General features: G+C 39.3%; 1 long non-coding RNA gene across 3 annotated transcripts in view, besides 1 other annotated feature; it reads right to left on the minus strand.

Moving 5' to 3' along the window:
• The window catches only part of LOC107984782 (uncharacterized), a 208325-nt gene that overhangs the window by 114402 nt on the left and 72015 nt on the right, over positions 1-21908 (minus strand). For 2 of the 3 annotated variants that reach the window (XR_001751569.2, XR_001751570.2), the window contains exon 2: positions 14152-14226. This is a non-coding gene — a long non-coding RNA (uncharacterized LOC107984782). Of the gene's footprint in view, positions 1-14151; positions 14227-17663; positions 18450-21908 lie in introns of those variants that run through there. The other variant, XR_007064667.1, reaches the window with a different exon arrangement.
• Positions 19391-20019: an enhancer, noted in NCBI's record as "OCT4-NANOG hESC enhancer chr15:61932853-61933481 (GRCh37/hg19 assembly coordinates)". NCBI's record gives its function as "activates a minimal SCP1, AML or CMV promoter by ChIP-STARR-seq in naive H9 embryonic stem cells {active_cell/tissue: H9 hESC(naive)}" and the evidence as "EXISTENCE:reporter gene assay evidence [ECO:0000049][PMID:30033119]".

The raw sequence follows: 21908 nt of genomic DNA on the forward strand, positions 1-21908 counted from the left end.
CTGGCCACAGTCGCTGGAGTGCCATCCTTGTCCACGACCTTCATTCATGAGTCTGCCTCTCCCACACTTTGCCTTAGGAGGCTGGCCCCTATCTTGCACACTCAGGCCTATTAGCCACAGTTATCTCTCCCATACAGCACTATCAGGTTACTTTAGAGCTGAAGCCTAATTGGACCAATGTAGACTCTTTACAATGTGTTTAAAGTTCTGAGCTCCTGGTTTAAGTGGAAAGAATGTCAATGATGATTGATCATCACCAGTCTCCTGGGGACCTCATGTGCCCAGAGCTTGAGCCTTCACCTAGGACCCAAAATACTTAGAGAGAGAAAATAAGTCACTGTATTTGGATAGGCAAAAAACAAAACAAACAAACAAAAAACAACCACAAACCCTGCTTTGCTGCTCAATTCCTTTTCATCTGGTCTTAAGAGAGTACAGCCACCACAAACGCAGCAAATTTAGTGTACATGAGACTGGAGGATATGGGAGAGAAGGGTACGTCTGTTCAGAAAATTATGGATTTTCCTTAACATGAGAAAATGAAAGAGAATAATTCAGCACCCAAATCATGTTAGTGCAAAGATCGATTGTTTTCCAGATTTCTTAATTTGATTGGACTGAGAATTACAAGCTGAGTAGATGTACTGTAGTGAGATGCTTTTGATATGATAATTGATAATATTTATTAGAATCACATGGGCACTCTGCTGGACTCTTTATATGCAGTATCTCCTGCAGTCCTCACAACAACCCACTAAGATAAGAATTATTACTATCACCTTTTTACATGCGAAAGCTGCAGCACAGAGAGGTTAAGTAACTTACCAAGGGTCACACAGCTGGTAAATACGTAGGCAGTAGAAAATATAGGACTCAAACCCAGGTCTGTGTGGTTGCAAGCCAGTGCATTTAACTGCTCCACTATCCTGCATCTCTCTTATATTTTCTTAATAAAGAGAAATTGAATGAAATGTGGAAATCAAAGCTAGAGAGAGAGCAGAAGACGACAAATTACCCCATGTGGGTAGGACTTATACACTGCATAAAGAGAAAAGGCTTAAGGAGGATGATGATTTTAGATAACTTCGCAAGGTTGAATTCACCTCTTCTGACTACTCAGAGACAATTTTTTAGACTTCAAGAGTTATTTAGCAAATGGATCTTGGTGACCCACAGAAAGAAAAAGCTGTTCTTAAGGAGGAAAAAATGTATTATTTTCCTCTGGTGGGATTAGGAGCTACCAATGATTTGAGAAGAGGAATGGTCTCTAAAACCCAGCAAGACAAGACAATAAGAGAGAGTCACAACTCTGTCTATATCTGGTTTTTCTAGGCTCGTTGAGCCAGGCCAGTAATTAGTATAACTCCATGTAAACTGTAATCACCATTTCTCTGATGTGATCAAGCTCACAGTGGAAGGATTCTGCTGTCTAATGTGACTAGCTTCTCCGATTCCATTTTCATAGCTGAATCGAGGTAGATCTCTTCCTGCAATGCAGTTTAATAATTGTTTTAAGAAACCCTAGAAACTAAAAGTAGCATATGAAAATTTGCAATGCATATAATTATATTATGACTGGGGACTCCAAAATAAGTCATGGCATTTATTTATTCATGCACTATGTACTCTGTGGTCCCCTGGGAAAAGAAATGTTTAAATTAAGATGTATGATAAGACAGATTCCGGTGTCTTATGCACTGAATTACAACTCACTAACATGTAGCTTTTACATAATACTTGCTCTCTCACTCTGACCTTGACTCTGAACATTTTTACAAAATATTTGTCTCCTAAGCCTCACCCCAACTTCGAGAAGCCCATATCATGAACATCATCATCATCATCATCATCATCACATATACTTTAATTTCACTTTTAATTCATCTCTGGCCAAGAAGATCTAGTAAGTTGATAGGGGAGAAACATCAAAAGGAAACTCACAATACATGTAAATATAAATTAAAATCCACCTTGCTTTGTTATAATTTTCATTCTAAAAACATGTACATAATTCATGATGGAGGATGGGGGGACTAGAAGATGCAGGGCTGGGGACAACCTTTTAATAGTGAATAGTGCCATGAAAAGTTTTTTTTTTCTAATGAGCCAAGAGAATGAGGGAGGAACTCAAAGAGGCAACGACAGTTTGATCTTTCACTTCTACATCTTTGGAAAAAGAGAAAATAAAAGAGAAGTTTCCTCTTTGAACTTTCTGAAATGACCCTACATTTAATGAACTATAGTGTCAAATATTTGAAACTTTTAAGAAATCTTGCTCTTTTGTTTAACATACAAGGTAGTGTTAGAAAAAAAATACTCAGCAGATAGTCACATTTCTAACCTTATCTTTCTATGAGGAAAAAGAAAAAGGCATTGAACTCTATGGGGGCGCCCGGACTGCTGTTTTACTGCACTTCCACCTTGCCCAAGGACGAGATTCGCCTTCAGGAAGTGAGACCTTGACCCAGCCAAAGGGGAATGGCCACTGCGAGAGCAGGTCCCTTCTTTTTCCTGGACACAAGTGCAAACTTAATGAATCCTCTCCCTCCACCACATGCCCCAGACGGCGAGGGGAAAGCGGAGTGCACCTGCTGCATCTCCCTTCATATCACGTTGCTGTTATGAAAAATAGTTTGCTATTTTGGAACCCCCTGGCAGCCAGAGTGAATCGCCGAAGGCCCCAAGCTCGTTTATCTTGTGTCAGAAGCAAAGCCAAATGAACACCACCTCGTCCAGCACCTGAAGAATGGGAAGAAGCTCAGAGAGAGTAAAAATAACCAAGGGCTCGGGAAACGGTGCCGAGACGAGCGGCCTGTACAGGTTAAGTAGGGCTTCTCACAGCCCACTCTGACTTTTAGAACTCTACACGTTGGGACAGGAAGGGGAGCGCTTTTTCAACCAAGCAGACTTTGTGGGTCTAAGGTCTAGGATGCGGGGGGCCGTTCCTGCCCAGTTTCCTGCAGTTTGGGCAAGCTGTGGCTATGATGGGGAATAACTGAAACCCCCAGTGGCATCTGGTGTCAGCTTGACTTCGACTGGAGATGGGAAACAGATACGTGCCCATTCCTCAAGATCTGGGCAAATCAATCATCCGTCCAATATCACACTCCCTCCCCTTCCACAAACCAGAGAATGGCTGAGTCTGAGATCATGTGATTGAGAATGATCCAAAAGGTTTAATTTCTTTTTAAGGTGGAGAGACAGAAAGGGAGAGAGAGAGATCAGAGTAGCTGCGGAAGGCTTATGGCAGAGGCAGAGTTGGTACAAGATTTTCAAGAATGGATAGAATTGAGATGGGTGAAGAGGAATGATGAAGGTGTATCAGTGGGGGGAAAGTAAAGACAAACAGACAGTGGTGAGAATGAGCTTGCTCCTTGCAGAGTTGAGCAATTCTTAAGGAAGGTTCGAGGGGGCATGTTAAATGTGCAAATTCTTGGGCCTTGTGCTAAACCTACTGAATCAGAATCTCTGTAGCCCAGGAGTCTATGTTTTACAAATTCTCCAGATGTTTCTTTGTACATGGTAAATTTGAGATGAGGGCTGAATACAGAATGTCAAGATCTGTCCAAATGGAGGAGAAGGTGGTCTGGGGAGACCCATGCTCTGCAGACATGAGGCGCAAGCTTATTCAGTGACACACATTGGCATGAGTCCTTAGCTTCCTTCCTTCTTGGTTCTGTCATGTCCTGATTGTCATCCTGAGGAATAAGTTAGGCTTTGTGAAGTGATGAGGAAAGTCACTTCACAAAAATTAAAAGCACAACTCAACAACGAGGCAGGTCGTTTTGGTTTTCTTCAGTCCCAAATCCTGGCGCATTGCTAGGTTTGTGTCAGGCATGAGAAAGTATTTGAGATTTTGTATAAAGACTACTGGCCTAACATTATCATGGGTCAGCAAATTCACTTAGAAGTTGATAAATATGTGATTTTCTAAAACGTATGTCTTTTCAAAAAGAAAGCAAATCCTAAAAAATAAAACCTCATGAGATTATGATCACACAATTTCTTTCCAATAATTGAGTCACATAGATTCCTAAAATATGATAAGTCCTAGGACACAAAGAATGTGCAGGTCGGCCAGGCGCGGTGGCTCATGCCTGTAATCCCAGCACTTTGGGAGGCCGAGGCAGGCGGACCACCTGAGGTCAGGAGTTTGAGACCAGCCTGGCCAACATGGCAAAACCCCGTCTCTACTAAAAACACGAAAATTAGCTGGGCGTGGTGGCAAGCACCTATAATCCCAGCTACTTGGGAGGCTGAGGTGGGAGAATCGCTTGAACCTGGAAGGTGGTGGTGGCAGTGAGCCGAGATTGTGCCACTGCACTCCAGCCTGGGCGACAGAGCAAGACTCCGTCTCAAAAAAAACCAAAAAGACAAAAAACAAAGAATGTGCAGGTCCACAGAATAGTGTAGAAGCTGAAACTGACCTTACCTAAGCCTCTTGTCAGCCTGGCTGGGTTCATGAGGAACCTTCTACCCCTACCCCACATCATCTCAAACATTGAAAGCTCTCACGTTGAGAGGCTTGGAAGCTGCCAAACTTTTTTTTAGAAGAATCCTGTGGCTCCACAGGAAGAAATTCTCCCTCAGAGAAAATACTGCATTAATGTGTCTAGAATAATAATAACAGGGAAATCACTTGATTGCTGCTTTAGTTCCTCACATGTTGAAATTGAAAAAATAATAGTAACTCCTTTTACGATTGTCAAGTTACTTAAGTGACTTAATAAACGTGAAGTGGTGGCTGGGCGCAGTGGCTCACGCCTGTAATCCCAGCACTTTGGGAGGCCAAGGCAGGTGGATCACAAGGTCAGGAGTTCAAGACTAGCCTAGCCAAGATGGTGAAACCCCGTCTCTACTAAAAATACAAAAATTAGCCAGGCATGGTGGCGAGTGCCTGTAATCCCAGCTACTCAGGAGGCTGAGGCAGAGAATTGCTTGAACCTGGAAGGCAGAGGTTGCAGTGAGCTGAGATTGCACCACTGCACTCCAGCCTGGGTGACAGAATGAGACACCATCATAAAAAAAGAAAAGAAAAGAAAAGAAAAAAAGCAAAGTGGTTAAAACAGTGACTGGTATATTTAAGTGGTTTATTTTACTTGATTCTCACATAAGCCCTAGAAAATCAGCATGACTGTCATTCCAATTTTACCGATGGGGAAAATGAGGGTTGGCAGGATTAAGTAACTTGCTAGTGGTCATAGAGCCATTGTTCATATGCAGGGATCATGCTTTTAACCACTTGGCTATATTGCCCAATCAACACCAACATGACTATGCCCTTACTATAGAAACCCAGACACATGTAAGTGGGAAATAATCCACACAATTATATAATAGCATATACTGTGAACAACTGGAGACAGCACTTTTCCCAGGGGGATCCAGGCACCTTTCTGCAAAAGTAAGAAGGAGTGCTTAATGCTGATGATGGCTGTCATCTTCCATAACTCCCTAAAAAAAACTGAAGTCCCCTTGGAGACCTCCCTCTAATATTCAGCTACTTGACCAATTCCTTATATAACCTGATCAGATCACTTGAATCCTGGCACCCCAGCCAGATGACACCCAGCTGAGCCAATCTAAAAAAAATTGGTGTTTTAATGATGCCACCCTCTCATGGGACTTGTCTTGGAATTTGAGCCTGGAGGGAAGTCTCTTCCTATAGGCATTGAATTCAACTGTCTTTGATGGCACAGCTACCATAGTGAAGGTGTAATATTCTGCACTACTGTGAATACTTAATGCCTTTTCTCAAAGCATGTGAACTGCCATTGTCACTCATGGGTCTTTCTATTAAAATTCTACCTATCTTTCAAGGACTGGGACAATGCCCACTTCTCCTTTCCTTTCTAGAATGGTACGTGGTATGTATACCACATACTGCCATTTTTCTGAATACAAACCACTTTAGAGTAGGGTCAGCACTGATAGGAGAGGTGAAATGGATTTGCTGTTGTTGATTGGGGGCTAAAAATCTTATTTTACAACTATTTATTTATATATCTACTTATTTTTGAGACAGAGTCTCATTCTGTCACCCAGGCTGGAGTGCACTGGTGCCATCTCAGCTCACTGCAAACTCTGCCTCCCAGGCTCAAGAGATCCTCCTACCTCAGCCTCCTGAGTAGCTGAGACCACAGACATGTGCCACCATGCTTGGTTAATTTTTGTATTTTTGCTATAGACAGGGTTTCACCATGTTTCACCTGACGCCCAGGCTGGTCTCAAACTCCTGAGCTCAAGCGATCCTCCCACCTTGGCTTCCCAAAGTGCTGGGATTATAGGTGTGAGCCACCACACCTGGCCTATTTATTTATTATCAACTTATTTATTTATTACCAACTTCTTTGTACCCCCCATAGCACAGCACAGAACACAGGATTTGTTATTAATAATTAGTTCAAAGTAATTTAATTCATAAGCCATGTCCTCAGGGAGCTTATATTCTATTTAAGAGGCCATAGATTCTGGAAAAGTTAAAGATTGAACTTAAACATGAGCACAAGATATATGGCACAGAGCATTACAGCATTGCCCCGACAATAGGTCAATCAGGAGTGCAGGATAAGAGGAAGAAGTCCTTTCAACAGTGGAGAAGAGTACAGGGGAGGAGTGGACCTAAGCTTGTTCCCTAGCTGTGAATCAATTTGCACAGAGAGGGTGTAACAGCTTACCTGGAATTGATGGTGAGAAGACCAGACCAGAAAACTGCTAAGATCTTTCCCATCTGAGAGCCTATCATTCCGTGGACCAGACCTAAACTAAAGGATTCAGTACCAAATTGTGTCTCTGAGGTGGATTTTTTCACAAAATTTGAAATTTGACATTTGGGACACATATCGAACAGATGCAGAGTTTTCCCAGCTTGTGCTGTTGATTCCGAAAAATTCACCAGTAGATGTTAAAACTTTGAGCCAAATAACTTATCTGAGAGGAATGTTATAGCAAGACTTCTCAATAACTTAGTTCTTAGGGTACAGGAATTTGCCTGATCCTTTTCTGAGAACAGGTTGGCACTGAGGTAGGATAGTAATAGCTAGTATTTATTAAGTGCCTACTGGGAAGTAGCACTTTAAAAAATTTAATTGGCACTATTTTATTTAATCCTCACAACAACTCTATAAAGTAGCCACTATTATTATTCCCATTTTTCAGATAATGAAATTAAATGAGAAATTAAATGATTAGTAAGTGGTGGAGATGGGATTCATGTCCAAACCTCTATCTCCAGGGCCTAAACACTTGTCTCTAAGTTACATTGAATGAAAAGCATTTAAAACAAAAATGTGAGTGTTATAAATTAACAATCACCACCACTATTGAGCATTTGTTATGTCTCAGGCACTGTGCCAGGCATTTTATGTATATTATCTTTGGTTCTTACAACCCTATAAAGTAGAAATTATGTTCACTTGTAATAAATAGGAAACTCAGGTAAGTAATTTGCTAGCAAATGTTCCTTTTAGGATTCATGACCAGATGTTTTGGTTCCAAAGCCTTAATATTCAAATTCTAAATTTGCAATTTACTTTCTGTGGCCTTAAGCGTGTTACTCCTTTAATAAACTTGAGTTTTTCTTATCTTTTGAAAAAGAAAGGACAAATATTCCTACCATATACAGTCAGTCACTGTATATGTATATAGACTTAACTTGGAAAAGGGAATGTGTCTAACAAAATGCCTGTGTAGAATGACTGTTTAGTAAATGCTGTTGAATCATGGAAGTAGAGGTTTGAGAAGGGGCAGTACCTCTGAGAGGAAAAGATAACACAAGAAAAAAAGATAACATAGAAATCATAGAAGAAGTCAGGAACTACCTCAGGTCTGCCAGGAACTACAAAAACTGAAGCCACAAATATATTGACCTGACAGACCTTTAGTGTCTTCAATAAGCAAAACATGGTTCTAGAATTATTCAGAAAAAAAAAATACCTTGCAGGCTCCCAAAACCTTGAAACAGGAAATATGCTGGGTTAACACTAGAATTTAACACTTTTCTACAATTTCAGGTTTATATTTCAGCATTCCTGGTGTCAATCATGTACTGTAATTAAATAGTGTGATAACGCTGAGATTATGTAGGCTACAAATAAATGTGGGTCTTCAGCGAATGATCCAAATCTGATACAGTTGAAAGGTACAAGAAGGCATTGAGATTTTAGGGCATGGAACCCCTCTTCAGCTTTAAAGAAAATCTGCCCAAGTCAGCAGAAACAGAAAGTTTACCATCTGCTTGTTGGCTTCTGACATGGTTATTTCAGTTCAATTCCAAAAGGAACGTTGTTTCCAATAAAATTATTTATAGAGTATCTCAAAATTATTTTTATTTGTGAATAAATAAAACAAGATGTTATTTAGCAAAATTTAGCCCATTGGTTTCAAATACTGTGTCCTATCTTTCTGCAAGCAATACAGTCTGGGGACAATTACAATCCTTGGATTTGGGGACCAAGGACATGCAACAGGGAACTTCAACTTTTTCAAATGCCCCAAACTGCCATTCCTGTAGAAATAAGATGTATAGGGCATACAGCAAACGTAGCCAGAGAACTGGAATAAGTTGCTTGAGGCAGACCTTCAATCCTAGTGAGTTCCATGGTGTGGCTGAGTCACATGTGCTTAACAAATTGGAAGTATTGCTGCAATGGAAGAGGATGGCTCTTTGTAACCAAAGTCAGGTAACGCAAATCCAGATGTAATGTGGATGCTTCAGGTATTCAGATTACAGGTAGACATTCATAGGAGGACCACGTGAAACAAGCTTCAAGCTCAGAAATCCCTCACAGTTCTATAGACAGTGCCTTCAGTGTATCACCTTGTACCCAAAACAATGTAATAACACCACTGGCTGTGGGTCTCCTTTCTTGTCAGGGTTATACAGAATGACTAACTTTATTTTCCAGAACAGGCTAATATCCACTTTTGGAAATAGTTAACCTGAGGAAAACTTTGTGTAAGGTGACTGTTTGCCGAAGGTATAGCCTGGGTATAGCTTGTGTTGGTATGGATTGTCTGTGAATTCTTTGCAGGTGTTTTGTGCCTGGATCCTTACAAAAGCTACGTGCAGGCAACAGTTCATGGATACTGGCCTATGGCTATTCTTCCACCGTCATACACAGAACTTCATCTTACACAACCAGTGGTTTTCCTAAGGAAGATTCATCCATAATAAATTTGTTTCTGATACTGAAGCACCTGAACTACTTGAACACTGTTATTTTATCCTTGACTATCTTATTCTTATAATTCAGACTTGCTTCAAAGGTTCATTTGCACCAAGCCTTTTGTTCTCAGAATAAATACAGTCATGCATCACTAAATGACAGGCATACATTGTGAGAAATGTGTTGTTAGGTTATTTCTTCCTTGTGGGAAAACCATAAAATGTACCTAAACAAACCTAGATGGTATAGCCTATATCTAGGCTATATGCTATAGCCCATTGCTCCTAGGCTACAAGTCTGTACAGCATGTTACTATAGTGAATACTGCAGACAATTGTAACACAATGTTAAGTATTTGTGTATCTAAACATTCCTAAGGAAACAAATATGGTATTATTATCTTATAGGGCCACCATCGTACATGCAGTCTATCATTGACTGAAATGTCAGTGTGTGCCATGACGGTGGTCCCATTACAGAAGTATGTTAAAATATAATTTTATCTGTACACATTCTGAATGCTGCTGTTAGACATCAGTCTTTACGTCCATGTTTCTTCAGCCCTTTGGTAAATTCCTGAGGAAAAACTCAGGAGAACACCGCTCCCTGAGTTTTTGCATGTATGTAATACTCTGCCACAACCTTTATACTTGAAGATCAGTTTGGCCGGGTATAAATTCCATTGCTTATCATTTATGTCCTTGAGTATTCTAAATATGTTTCTTTATTGTCTTCAGGTTAAAGCACTGTTTTTGAAAAGATTGATGACAAACTGATTTTTTGATTTTTTTCCCCTCTCTTGTGAATGCCAGTATCAATGTCTGGGTGCTCATAAAGAAGTCTTTTCTTTAATTTTTAAGCCAGTTTGGCCACTGTGAATTGATTTTCTCAGAAATAGCATGCCCTTTTTCAGTGCATATTTTTTGTTTACTTTTATTTCAGGAAAGCTTGATTGAATTATAGTTTTTAATATTAATTCTTTTCCATATCTTTGTTTTCTTCTTTGAAAACTCCTATTATGCATGCATTGGATCTTCCCTGTCTAGCTTCTGTATCACTGTCTAATCTGTTTCATCTCTTTTGAATTCCTTTCTGATTTAAAGTTGTGTCACTCTCTTCAATCTCCTATTTATCTAAGGAATTTTGTGTGTTGCTTATTCATGCTTGTGTTCCTTCTCATTTAGACTTTATTTCTGAAATAATGTTTTAATTTTCATTATTTTCTAAGCTTAGACAGGTCCTTTTTCAAAGCTTTTCTTTTTCTTATCTTTTCTTCAGTCATACCATTTCTGAGTTTCTCTAAGCTTATTTGTGTTCCTTCATAGCTTCTTTTACTCTATTTGCATTATTTCATATTATTTTTCATCTCTTCTGAAATATTAGTTTATAATTTTCATCTATTTTGTAAACATAATCTTCTGATTTCTTTGATTGTCTATATGAATATTGTGTTGGTCCTGGTTTTTTTTTTTCCCCCTTATAGTGACTTTATGTGGGATTTGCCTGCAATCATTTTCTGTTGCTCATTTTAAGTGAAACAGGTTTTTCTTTGCTAGAAAGGAAAGATGAACCAGGATAGATTTCATGCTATATTCTGTAGAGCTCTCTTTTCTGTTGTTCTCAAGCGTTTTTGAAAACATATACTCTCATACTTCCTGAGATCCACTGGCTCTGCTCATTTTCCTTTTTCCCTCCTTCTCCTTTCTTTGCCCCTATTTTCCCTAACCTAACTAATTTGGATTCTGCTCACAGAAGTTTCTCCTTCCTGGTGAAATCATCTTGAAGGGAGATTTGGATGATTAGTATCAAGAGTACAGAGGTCCCAGACATCTCTGGCTACATCAGTCTTACCCGGGAATTCTAGTCGGCTAAGCTCCCACCCAGATTTGACTGCTCTCCTTAGATTGGCTTGCTGAGCTTTCAAGTGACTGTCTGTTGTCAGTTTGGGATTGTTAGTCAGTACATCAGAAGTACCTCTTTTACCCCTCTGCCTCCTCCTTACTATAGTAGTCTGGTTAGTATGGCTCAATGCTTGGCATTTGTAGGGACATCTTTTCACTTGGTTTTGTTGTGGATACCGTACATGGTGTTTTGGCTTTGTTATCCTACTCTGACTTTTTTTAATGGGTGTTTCCAGAGATTTAAAAACTATTGCCTTGACACTGCCATTTCCTAGAGTCCTCTTAATACCATTTTAAATAATATAATTCTGGAAATATAACTACTAACTTTAAAAAAAACTACTTACACATGCAACATGGATTAATCTCTAAAAGAGTATATTCGGTAAAATAAAGCAAACATACAAAAAAGCATATGCTGTATGATTTCTTTTATAAAAATTGATGAACAGAAAACTAATATATGCTGGTATAAATTAGAATATGCTTATTTACATAGAAGAGGTAATTAACAGAAAAGCCCATGGAGGAACTTTCTGGGGTGATGAAAATATCATATAACTTGATCTGGTAGTAGTTATATGGGGACATAAATGTAAAAACTTTAGCTGTACATTTTACATTTATATACTTTATTCTGTGTAAATTATACCTCTGTTGAGACATAATAATTAAAATTCATTTTAAAAATGTAATTGATTGATCCCAAAGGAATTTCAAACTACATTCTAGTTTCCTTCAACTTAGCTCAATGCCTAGAACATAATAGGGATTCAATCAATATTTATTAAATGAATGAAATAAGGAACCACCCACTGAAGTTACAAATGACATCATCTTTCACTACTATGTGTCAGCATCTTTTCCGGAGTTGAATCTCTCCATCCAAAATTGATCTCACCATTAGATAATATGTTGATAACCACAAACGGCCATAGTCATTTCTTTTAATTTAGAGAATTTGGGTCATGTATCTACCATATTTTAGGTACTATTTTAGGTACCATTAGGTATAAAATTATGAAGTCAACTATTCCTTGCCCTCAAGGTTTGATATGGTTTTGCTGTGTCCCTACCCAAATCTCACCTTGAATCGTAATAATCCCCACATGTCAAGGGTGGGACCAGGTGGAAGTAATTGGATCATGGAGGCAGTCTCCCCCATACTATTCTTGTGATAATGAGTGAGTCTCACAAGATCTGATGGCTTTATCAGCATCTGGCATTTCCCCTGCTTGCACTCACTCCATCCTGCTGCCCTGTGAAGAAGGTGTCTGCTTCTCCTTTGCCTTCCACCATGATTGTAAGTTTCCTGAGGCTTCCCTAGCAATGTGGAACTGTGAGTCAATTAAACCTCTTTCTGTTATAAATTACCCAGTCTTGGATATTTCTTCACAGCAGTGTGAGAACTGACTAATACAAGGTTCTTACATTATAGTCCAATCTTTTAAACAGTGCTTAATCTATAAATCTTAAATAGGAAGATCTTCTCCTAATATATAAGAAAAATATGGCAAATTATGGACTTTGAAATCATTATTACAAAAAAAATTTGTCAATGAACAGCTACAAAAAAAATCAGCCAAATACTAGACATCATTAGGAAGGAAATACTGAGTAAGAATGAGGATTTGAGTATTAGTAATGCTAGTTGGATGCCGGTGACAAAATACAATATTGGGAGGGGAACATTTGCTTCAATTCTCAGTGCGCCAAAGACCAGCAATTTTGGAACAATAGAAAACAATACCCTGGACATGGTGTTCTCATGATGACTACCTTCAGCGCTGGCTGGACCGTCAGCCAGGTGCCTTTGCATAGTTCCCATTCTTGCCTAATTAAACCAGTGACATCAGGATAAAGAACAGTACATGGAGTTTTTATAAGTGTAGATTCAGAGCAAATAAATAAAGGGCAATATTTCTTCACACAGCTAGGAATCAAAACAGGGAACTTATTGATTCAAAATGACATACTAGCTGAGATGATACCCTGTAAATTAAGAGCTGGATAATATAGACTAAAGATGTATGAGAGGTTGTTTGATTTCTGTTCCTATCCTCTTGATGTTAGCATTGACAATCTTGAAGCTGCTGTTAGGGCATATTTTGAGCTGAAAGGAACATGTGTCTGACCCTGGATCCCGTGTCTTATACTCAGTTAACACTCCATGGGTGACATGAGAGAAGAACTCTTATGAGAATAGGAAAGGGTAAGTTAATATTATTCCTCCTCCCATCAGCTCTTAGAGCCTCTTCTGAAAGGCCAAATAAGCATCTTTTACATTCTACCATTCTCTCTGAACATTAAAATATCCAATACAGGGATAACAAATAAGAAACATCTGTCAAAGGCAAAGGTATCTTTGGTAACTTCTCTTTTTCTGGCTAAAGGGGCAAAGTCACTTGGAAAAATGAGCCAATAGATTAACAAGGTTTTAAATCATTCTTAAGTCAGTACTGCAATTAATTTACTGTCACAAGCCACCAAAATATTTATAGCTATTTTTCAAACCTTAATGCAGATAGAAAGTAGTTTTTACAAATAGCAATTAAATACATCACTGATGTTAATTATAATAATTTGCATTAATGGAGAGGAAGTAATTTTAGATTTCCTAGCCAAAGATCAGAGACTGCTGACTATGCTCTCTACTCTAGGTGAAAAGTATCACTTCAGCCATGTACCATGAGAGTCAAGTGGCTGATATGGCTCTTAGAATTTATGACTGATTAACTCAGCTAGTTACTACACTTCTAAGGAGATCAATTTCAATGATGTGACATTCACTTGAGCCAGTCAGAACTAGTCTGCCTATCCAAGGAGAGACGAGACCTATGCTCTAATCTTGATTCTTCCACTTTCTAACTGTGATGAGCCTGGATACTTGACTTCAGGGAGACTTCATCCATAGAATGGGAACAATAAGAATCATTTTAGCTTCCCCTGCATTCTTTTGATATAACTTCCAACTCTATATAACCCTCTGATTCCAACTTACTGACCCTCAAAAAACAGGGTCAGCCATCTTGAAAATGTGGCCCCAAGAGATGCTGGGTGAGCTTAGTACAACAAATCCTTACCTTCGTTGTGAAAGCGTTTCAAAGCCATCTTGCTGTTCAGAGACAGTGTTCTGGGCTGGAAGGAATAGTTCTTTCCTAATTGAAACAATGGAGTTAATTAGTGGGAAAAAGATGCAATTCCCTAAATTAGGTTCTGGCAAGGACATTTTGATTCAGGATTGCCAAGAAATCGTTAGTGGCCACAGAAAGGCCATTTCTACACTAGCAAAGCAAAATGTACCTTGGCAAAAGCTCCACAGAGTAGTAACAATGAAGGTATTTTCTCAAAACATCAAGCCACACACTGGAGTGTTGAGAATATAATTGCCAAAAATATTTTGCATATATACTTCACTTAATCACAGAAAAAACCTTTGCTAAAGTACAAAATCACCCCCAAATAATTGTTTATTTATTCAGGATGACATAGGACATCATTATACCATATTAGGGTTATTGGCATACTCTCACTAATAATTCTTCTTGAAAAACAAAAGTATAACCTCACTGGCCTTGATTTACAAAGGTATCTCATCTTTACGAAATGAAGAGATAAGAATATATGATTCTCGGCAGCCATTTGGCGGTAACAATAACACTCAAGTGTGAGTTAGTGGACACACTATGGTGACTTTTATAGTTAACACTTAATGATCTTACACTGACATCCAGAATATACGAGTAACTTAAACAAATCAGCAAGAAAAAAAAATCCCATCAAAAGTGGACAAATGACATGGATAGACATTTCTTAAAAGAAGATTTACAAATGGCCAACAAACATATGACAAAATGCTCAATATCACTAATCATCAGGGAAATGCAAATTAAAACCACAATGAGATACCACCTTATTCCTGCAAAAAGGGACATTATTAAAAAGTCAAAAAACAATAGACGTGAAGGTGGATGTGGTGAAGAGGGAGCACTTGTGCACTGCATAAGAACTGAAAGTAGATCTACCATTCAATCCAGCAATCCCACTACTGGGTATCTACCCAAAGGAAAAGAAGCCATTATATCAAAAAGACACCTGCACACATGTGTTTATTGCAGCACAGTTTACAAGTGCAAAGATATGGAACCAACCTAGTGCCCATCAACCAATGAGTGAATAAAGAAAATGTGTTAAATATACACCATGGAAAACTACTCAGCTGTAAAACAGAATGAAATAATGTATTTTGCAGCAACTTGGATGGAGCTGGAGGCCATTATTCTAAGTGAAGTAACTCAGGAATGGAAAACCAAATACCACATATTGTCACTTATAAGTGGGAGCTAAGCTATGAGTATGCAAACACATACAAGTGACATAATGGACTTTGGGGACTCAGAAGGGAGGTGGTAAGTGATCAAAAAACTATACATTGGATACTATGTATACTACTTGGGTGATGGGTACACTAAAATCTCAGACTTCACCACTATACAATTCATCCATGTAACCAAAAACCACTTGTACCCCAAAAGCTATTGAAATTTAAAAAAAAATTTTTAAAGAAAAAAATACTTAATAATCCTACAGTATGTGCAGGCATGGTGTTAAACTTGAGAGAGAGAGACAAGAGAGAAGTATTTACCTTCTAAGGAATCAGCCATATATTTAGAGAGACAATGTCAATAAGGAATATCATACAACAATGTATAATATACATTAGTTCATGTTATACAGATTATGAGTCAAAAATTCTCCAGCTCTTTCCCAAGTAGGAGCCCCTTTTCATTTTCCTCAAGTCTTACAATTAGCTATAGGAAAAGGAGGAAGAAAGAGCTATGGCAATGTTTCTTTCAATCAAATATATAAGGCTTTGAGCACAACCAGATTTTGGAAAATCCTGCCATGGGAACTTATGCAACAGTACAATGGAGAATGGAAAAATTGTGAAAAGTGAGAGAGATTGGAGGAAGACTCACTGAAGTCTGGTTGTAACTAAAAGTTCCCATAACATGAGGCTTATCCACCTAGTTTCTTGCTAAGTCATATTCAAGGGGCCAGAAGGACCAGGAGAGAAGTGATGCTTTCAAAGGCCAAGCCAGGCCAGAAGAGGTTACCCAGCAGGCTTGACAGCTTGCTGAGAGAGATCTAGAAAATAGATCTATTTAGAGGGAGAGATCAAGGAAAGCAACCAAGAAATGCACAGAGAAATGAGACCAAGTGAAGCTCAGCTTCAAGGGATTGGGTCACAAGTAAGAAGCTGGTAAGACCAGAACAGGAGGTATTCAAGGCAAAGTCAGTTAGGCAATTAGTTCAAAACTGAGATTCAAACAATGGCAGGGTTTGAGAGGCCTATTCCAATCTAGTGCCCACTTTGCAGCTTCCATATGCATGTAACATTTCAAAGAATAGAGCAACATTGAAAAACCAGAAGTAGAAAGTCTGCAAAGAACAGTGGCAGAATGAAACATTTTAAAAATAAAATCAACAGCAAATGCAACCAGATTTATCTAATAGGACATTTTGCAATAAAAATCTTTTCACTATCCCAGCCAATTCTTTTCTAGCCACTTTTTTAGACTTCTTCATTGTTTTGGGCTGTTTTATGTCATTTTTATCAAAACTTATTTTCCTAACCTCCCTTCTATGAGAACTTGAATATATAGAAAACCATATGAATTATATTCCAACAATATAATCTAGGTAAAAGGACATCCAAATATAATGTCAAAAAATGGGCCAGATGGAGTCAGGGGTGACCTAGCACTGCTTTTGCCTCATGACATGGACCCTAGCCTTTGACCTCACCATTGCCTCACTGTTCTACCATTTTCATGTGCAATGACTTCATTTGATTTCTGTATTTTTGGTATATTCTCTGCAAATCATTCAACTAGGGACCAATTTCTGACTTCCACGTTATAGCCATCAGAGTATTTGATGTAACTTAAGTCATGTGGTTAACCCCATCCTACCTTCATTTTATACCTGAAAACAAGAGTCTTACATCAGGTTCTGTGTAACCCCATCCTACCTTCATTTTATACCTGAAAACCAGAGTCTTATGTAAGGTTCTGTGTAATGCCCAAGGACAGAACCTAGAGAACAGATCAGGAGGGTTCCAGTTTATCACACCCAACTTGGAGCTATACGTCTTTTAAAATGGATTTTATAGTATTTCTAGCACCGGCAGAAAAATCATCAAATATGTCAAAAATGATTGAATTTGACAGATTTAGTGCCACTAATTAAGGTTAATATTGAATATAACTTCATCATAAAGTAAAATCACCTTTGTTTCATTTGCTTAATGTCAAGGCTCTTCAATTTAACATATATTGAACATCTGCGATGTTTCAGGCCCTGCTAGGTACTGGGAACATAACTATGAATAAGATATTGTTCCCATCCTCAAGTCATTCCCAGTCTAGCAGAGGGAGATGGATCCATAAACCCATGACTAAACTATAATGTAAGACTATTGTTGCAGAAAAAGAGAAATATATATACATATAATTCTATAAGAACAAAAATAAGGAAGCAACTTTTAAATTCTACTGGTATCTAGATGGGAGAAGGAAAAGAAAACTACAGGGAAGGGAAAAATATCTGTCTTTTATTATTAAATTATTTTATCATCTGACCTATCAGATTTACTCATTTCTATCTATTTCATGGGTCTAAAATTCTTTATATATTATGCTATACATGACACTTTTTAATAAATTATCCTATTCCAAGATCACAAAAGCCTTCTGAGTTAAACAGTTGAGAGATTGTACCCATTTTATAGATGAAACCATGAAGAGGAGAGGGAGATGAACTGAAGTTTGGGAATCAAAGCAATCAAGTCCAAAATATTCCAAATTCTGACCCTTTTTTGAGTTTCCCTTGGAAAGAATGGTAAGGAGAACAACAAAACCCCACAAGTCTAGATTCTGTGAGCTGTGAAAACAGATTCTCCTCCTCTGCCATGATCAACCATCAAACCCATCCTCACCCAGCCAGACTTCTGTTAAATGCTCGCTGCCACCCCGAGTTGTAAATTATTTAAATAATTAACAAGCGCTATAGATGTAACGCTGTGAATGGCCTTGTGATCTGGGAAGACAGTTACACCTTTGGAGATCTTTAGCAAATAAACTGAAAACTCGGCTCTGTGAATTTTCTTTCTGCCATAATTAGCAGCAGATGGACGACTTTTATGGAGCCACCTGTCAGCAGGAAGACTCTCCTTACAGTTTCTAGTTTCTAGAAGGAGCAGGATTAAAATAGACCAGCGCCGTTTGCTTCAAGTACTCTTAAGGGTCCCAGATGTAATCGGATCTGCCGGAGACTGACAGGATTCAAGAGGCAGCCACTCCTCATGGCGCTGGCTCACCTGTGAGGCACGAGGCAAGAATAAGACAGAACATTATTTCTTAGCAAGTCTGGGCAGCCGATCATTTCCGAAAACTTGGAGAGCAAGCCGGGAGTCAGCCTGTGCTGTAACGTTCCATTTTACTAACCTTTTTATCCAATTTGAAAATACAAATAGAGCTCTCAGGGTGTAATTAGCGGCAATGACTCTTAATACCTGCTTTCCAAATTTGACCTTAATGGACATTCATTAAAATGGGCTCTGACTTGATAGCCACGTTAGCAGAAAATGGAAAAGTCCATCTATCACTGTCTGTTCCCATTTTCTGCATAATCATTCCTGGAAGAAAGAGGCCTGCAAGTGTGTATGGGGGTGGTGGAATTAGCTAAAGAGGAATTTCAGAAAACGATGGCAAGAGCTGGTGTTTGAGTTTCCCTAAACATCTCTGGTGCCTAGAGAGAGGTGTAGTGCAGAGTCCTGGCCAGCCATGAGAGATGTGGGTGCTCCATCTTGGCCTTGCTGTGTGAGCTGAGGGAAGTCTGTGCTTTTATCACATCTGTAAAACGCAGATAATCATACCACACCTACTGCAGAAGGTTTTCTGGGGATCAACTGGAATAATGTATATAAAAGTGCCTTGAAAAGCAAACTTTGCTATGTAATTGCAGAAGGTTTTTTTAAGAATGACAGTATCAATGGCAATGAGAAGAAGGCAATAAAACAATCATAGGTTTTGGTAAGTTCACTCAGGGGAAATGGAGATGCACTGATCCTATTTTTGCAGAATATATTTTAGATGGGCTCCTCGTATCGGCTGTAAGTGAATGGGGCATGTGTCCAAGACAGGGAGGGGCTGGGGAGGGTGGGGTGGGGGTAAGACTAAGTGGGCACCTGAACATGGAGCAGAGACTGAGTGAGGAAGGAGAGCACGAGACAAGGAGTCCCAGGACACCAGACCCTGCCGGGTCCTGACCATCACTTACTGTCATTTTCCCAGCCTATTTTAATCCTATGATTCTGTGACTTTCTGGTATCAATTAAAGTAAATAACCATTGTTTTACAGAAGGGGCAAAGGGCAGGAGGGAAATCAAGGGAGTTGAGGATAAGTTGGTTTCTGTTTTAAATAGGCACTAGAAGAAGCTATTTGAGGCAGATACTAATTATGAAGCTTCAAAGTAGATTCACTTCCCTGGCCCACAGACTTCCTAATTCCTTTGTCAATAAAGAGTTTAGGCCCACAAGAACAAAAGAGTTCCCCTTGGAGTTTGAAAGAGGCAAATGTTGAGTAAATTAAAGGAAAAACAACTCTACACAGTGGGTGGGCAAGTGAAGGAGCTAAAATACTGAAAAGGAGACACAGGATTGAAATTCACCTAAAAATCTCCAGGGTGAATTTTTCATCCAATTTAATTTGGATAATTGAAGAGCCATCTGCTCTAAGTCATGCTGCCTGAACCTTATCTGATGTGAGATTTGTTTGAAGCTTCTGACCCTCTCTGCAGCCTCTCCAAATTCAGTTTCAGCCTCCGTTCACCAAGCACTTGTTATGTATCAGGCCCTGTACTAGGTGTTTCCAAGAACCTTACTGACTTTAATCTTTTTAATGAAAATACCATAAGGAAAGTATTTATAGTTCCAGTTTTACACAGGAGGAAACTGGGGCTCAAACAAAGTACTTATCCAGAACCAAAAGTTGGGATTTAAACCTAGCTACCCCAAGTTGCAATCCAATTCTTTTTCCATTGCTGCATAGGTGATTGCAGCAAAACCTAGTTCTCCCTTCTAAATGGCCATTTTTGAAAGCCATTTCCTGATTTGCTGACATGCAATTGTTTTCGATTGTTGCTTGGTTATTTTACCTATTTCAATGTAACTTTCTATCATTTAAGTGCAATATTACTTTGTAAACATTTTGGTTATTCAGTGCCCTATGATCATTGTTGTATCCCCTGGGCTTAGGATTAAAGCGGATATTTGTAAATGTCTGATGAAAGACTGAATGATTAGGAGAAACTTAGTCTATGAGGTTGCTCAGATGTGAGGATCCCAGATGTGAGACTGAGAAGAACCAGGACTCAGGTATATTCTGGCAACTGGCCACCTGCAAGGCCCGCAGAGGGTATGCCACCATGTTGTTTTGGGCTTCGGCCCATCTGAGCCACGACAGAGAACAGAAACCATCACATTCACAGGGCACAGCTGAACTTACGAAAAGCCCCTGGTTTGCCTCATGTCAATGTTCACAAATGTGCCTTCCCAGCTCCTTGTGATGGGTGCTATGTCCTTAAGTGACATGCGTTTTTCTCCCTGATGTAAAAATAGCTGAACTTGACATACTGTGTTCATTTCAGTTTAATGACAACTTCAGTTTACAACAAAGTAGTGCCAACTCCAGGCTCAAACATCTTTGTTTGTGTAATGGCAGCATGTAAATGATGCCAAACACAGTCCAGAATCCTGTTCGTAAATTGATTACATTCATTCTTGTGGAAGGAAAGAAAGAAGTAGCATTTACTGAGCACCTATCATGGGTCAGGAATTTCACATGCATTTTCTCATTTAATTTGATGAGGAAGATGTTATTACCTCCATTTTAAAGATAAGAAAACTAAGACCCAGAAAGATTATCTCATTTGACCAAGGCCACTCGTTAGTGAGTGGCAGATGTGGGATTCAAGCCCAGATCAGCCATCACAGTGGAAGCTCCTTCCACACCCCAAGATGCCCCCCGTGGCTCAGATGCCAAAACAGAGCCCAGATGTATTGAGGAGCTATTAGTAAAGGCTGGACTGAGGAGGAAGAAGAGGAAATCGTTTCCCATAAGGTCATAGAGATACCATGTTCAGAACCAGGAGCTATGCCAAATGGTTTAGATTCTGTGCTAACAGCTATGTCACTTTGGAAAAGTGGCTTCGCTACCCCTGGCCTTAATTAAGTTACCCATGTGGGATGCAACAGGGATGGTGGTGTTCAGACTTTCTCTAACTCCCTCCTTCTGCCTACTCCTGGGAGAATATCCCCTTTTTCAAGTAGGTGAGCTTTGGTGTCCATTGTGCTTACTGCTAAATGATGTTTCCATAGAAAAATGTAAAGCTTTTTCATATCTAGCTGGCCCCTATACCATTTGCCGCTAATGGATCTGAAAGTGATGGCCCTGACCAAAGGTCCAGCTTCAGCTCCACCCTTGGAAAGAGAACAGAGTAACAACAGAAGGCAGAAGGGCTGAAGAAAAGGAGGCTCCTGGCCCAGGCTGTCCTGATGAATGGAGGGAAGGGAGGGTGGCAAAGGCTGAATGAAGCTGGGCAGATCTCTTCCATTTCCCTATCCATGGCACGGGGCTCCCAGGATGGTGCCAGCCTCCTGCAGGGGCTAGGGCAAGATGATAGTCATCTTAGGATAAGAAACCTGTGCTCTGTATGCTCTCATAGCACACTACTTCATTCTCTCTTTCCTTTTCTTCTGGTAAAAATCCAACTTAC

Source organism: Homo sapiens, chromosome 15 (assembly GCF_000001405.40).
Source record: "Homo sapiens chromosome 15, GRCh38.p14 Primary Assembly".
NCBI lineage: Eukaryota > Metazoa > Chordata > Mammalia > Primates > Hominidae > Homo > Homo sapiens.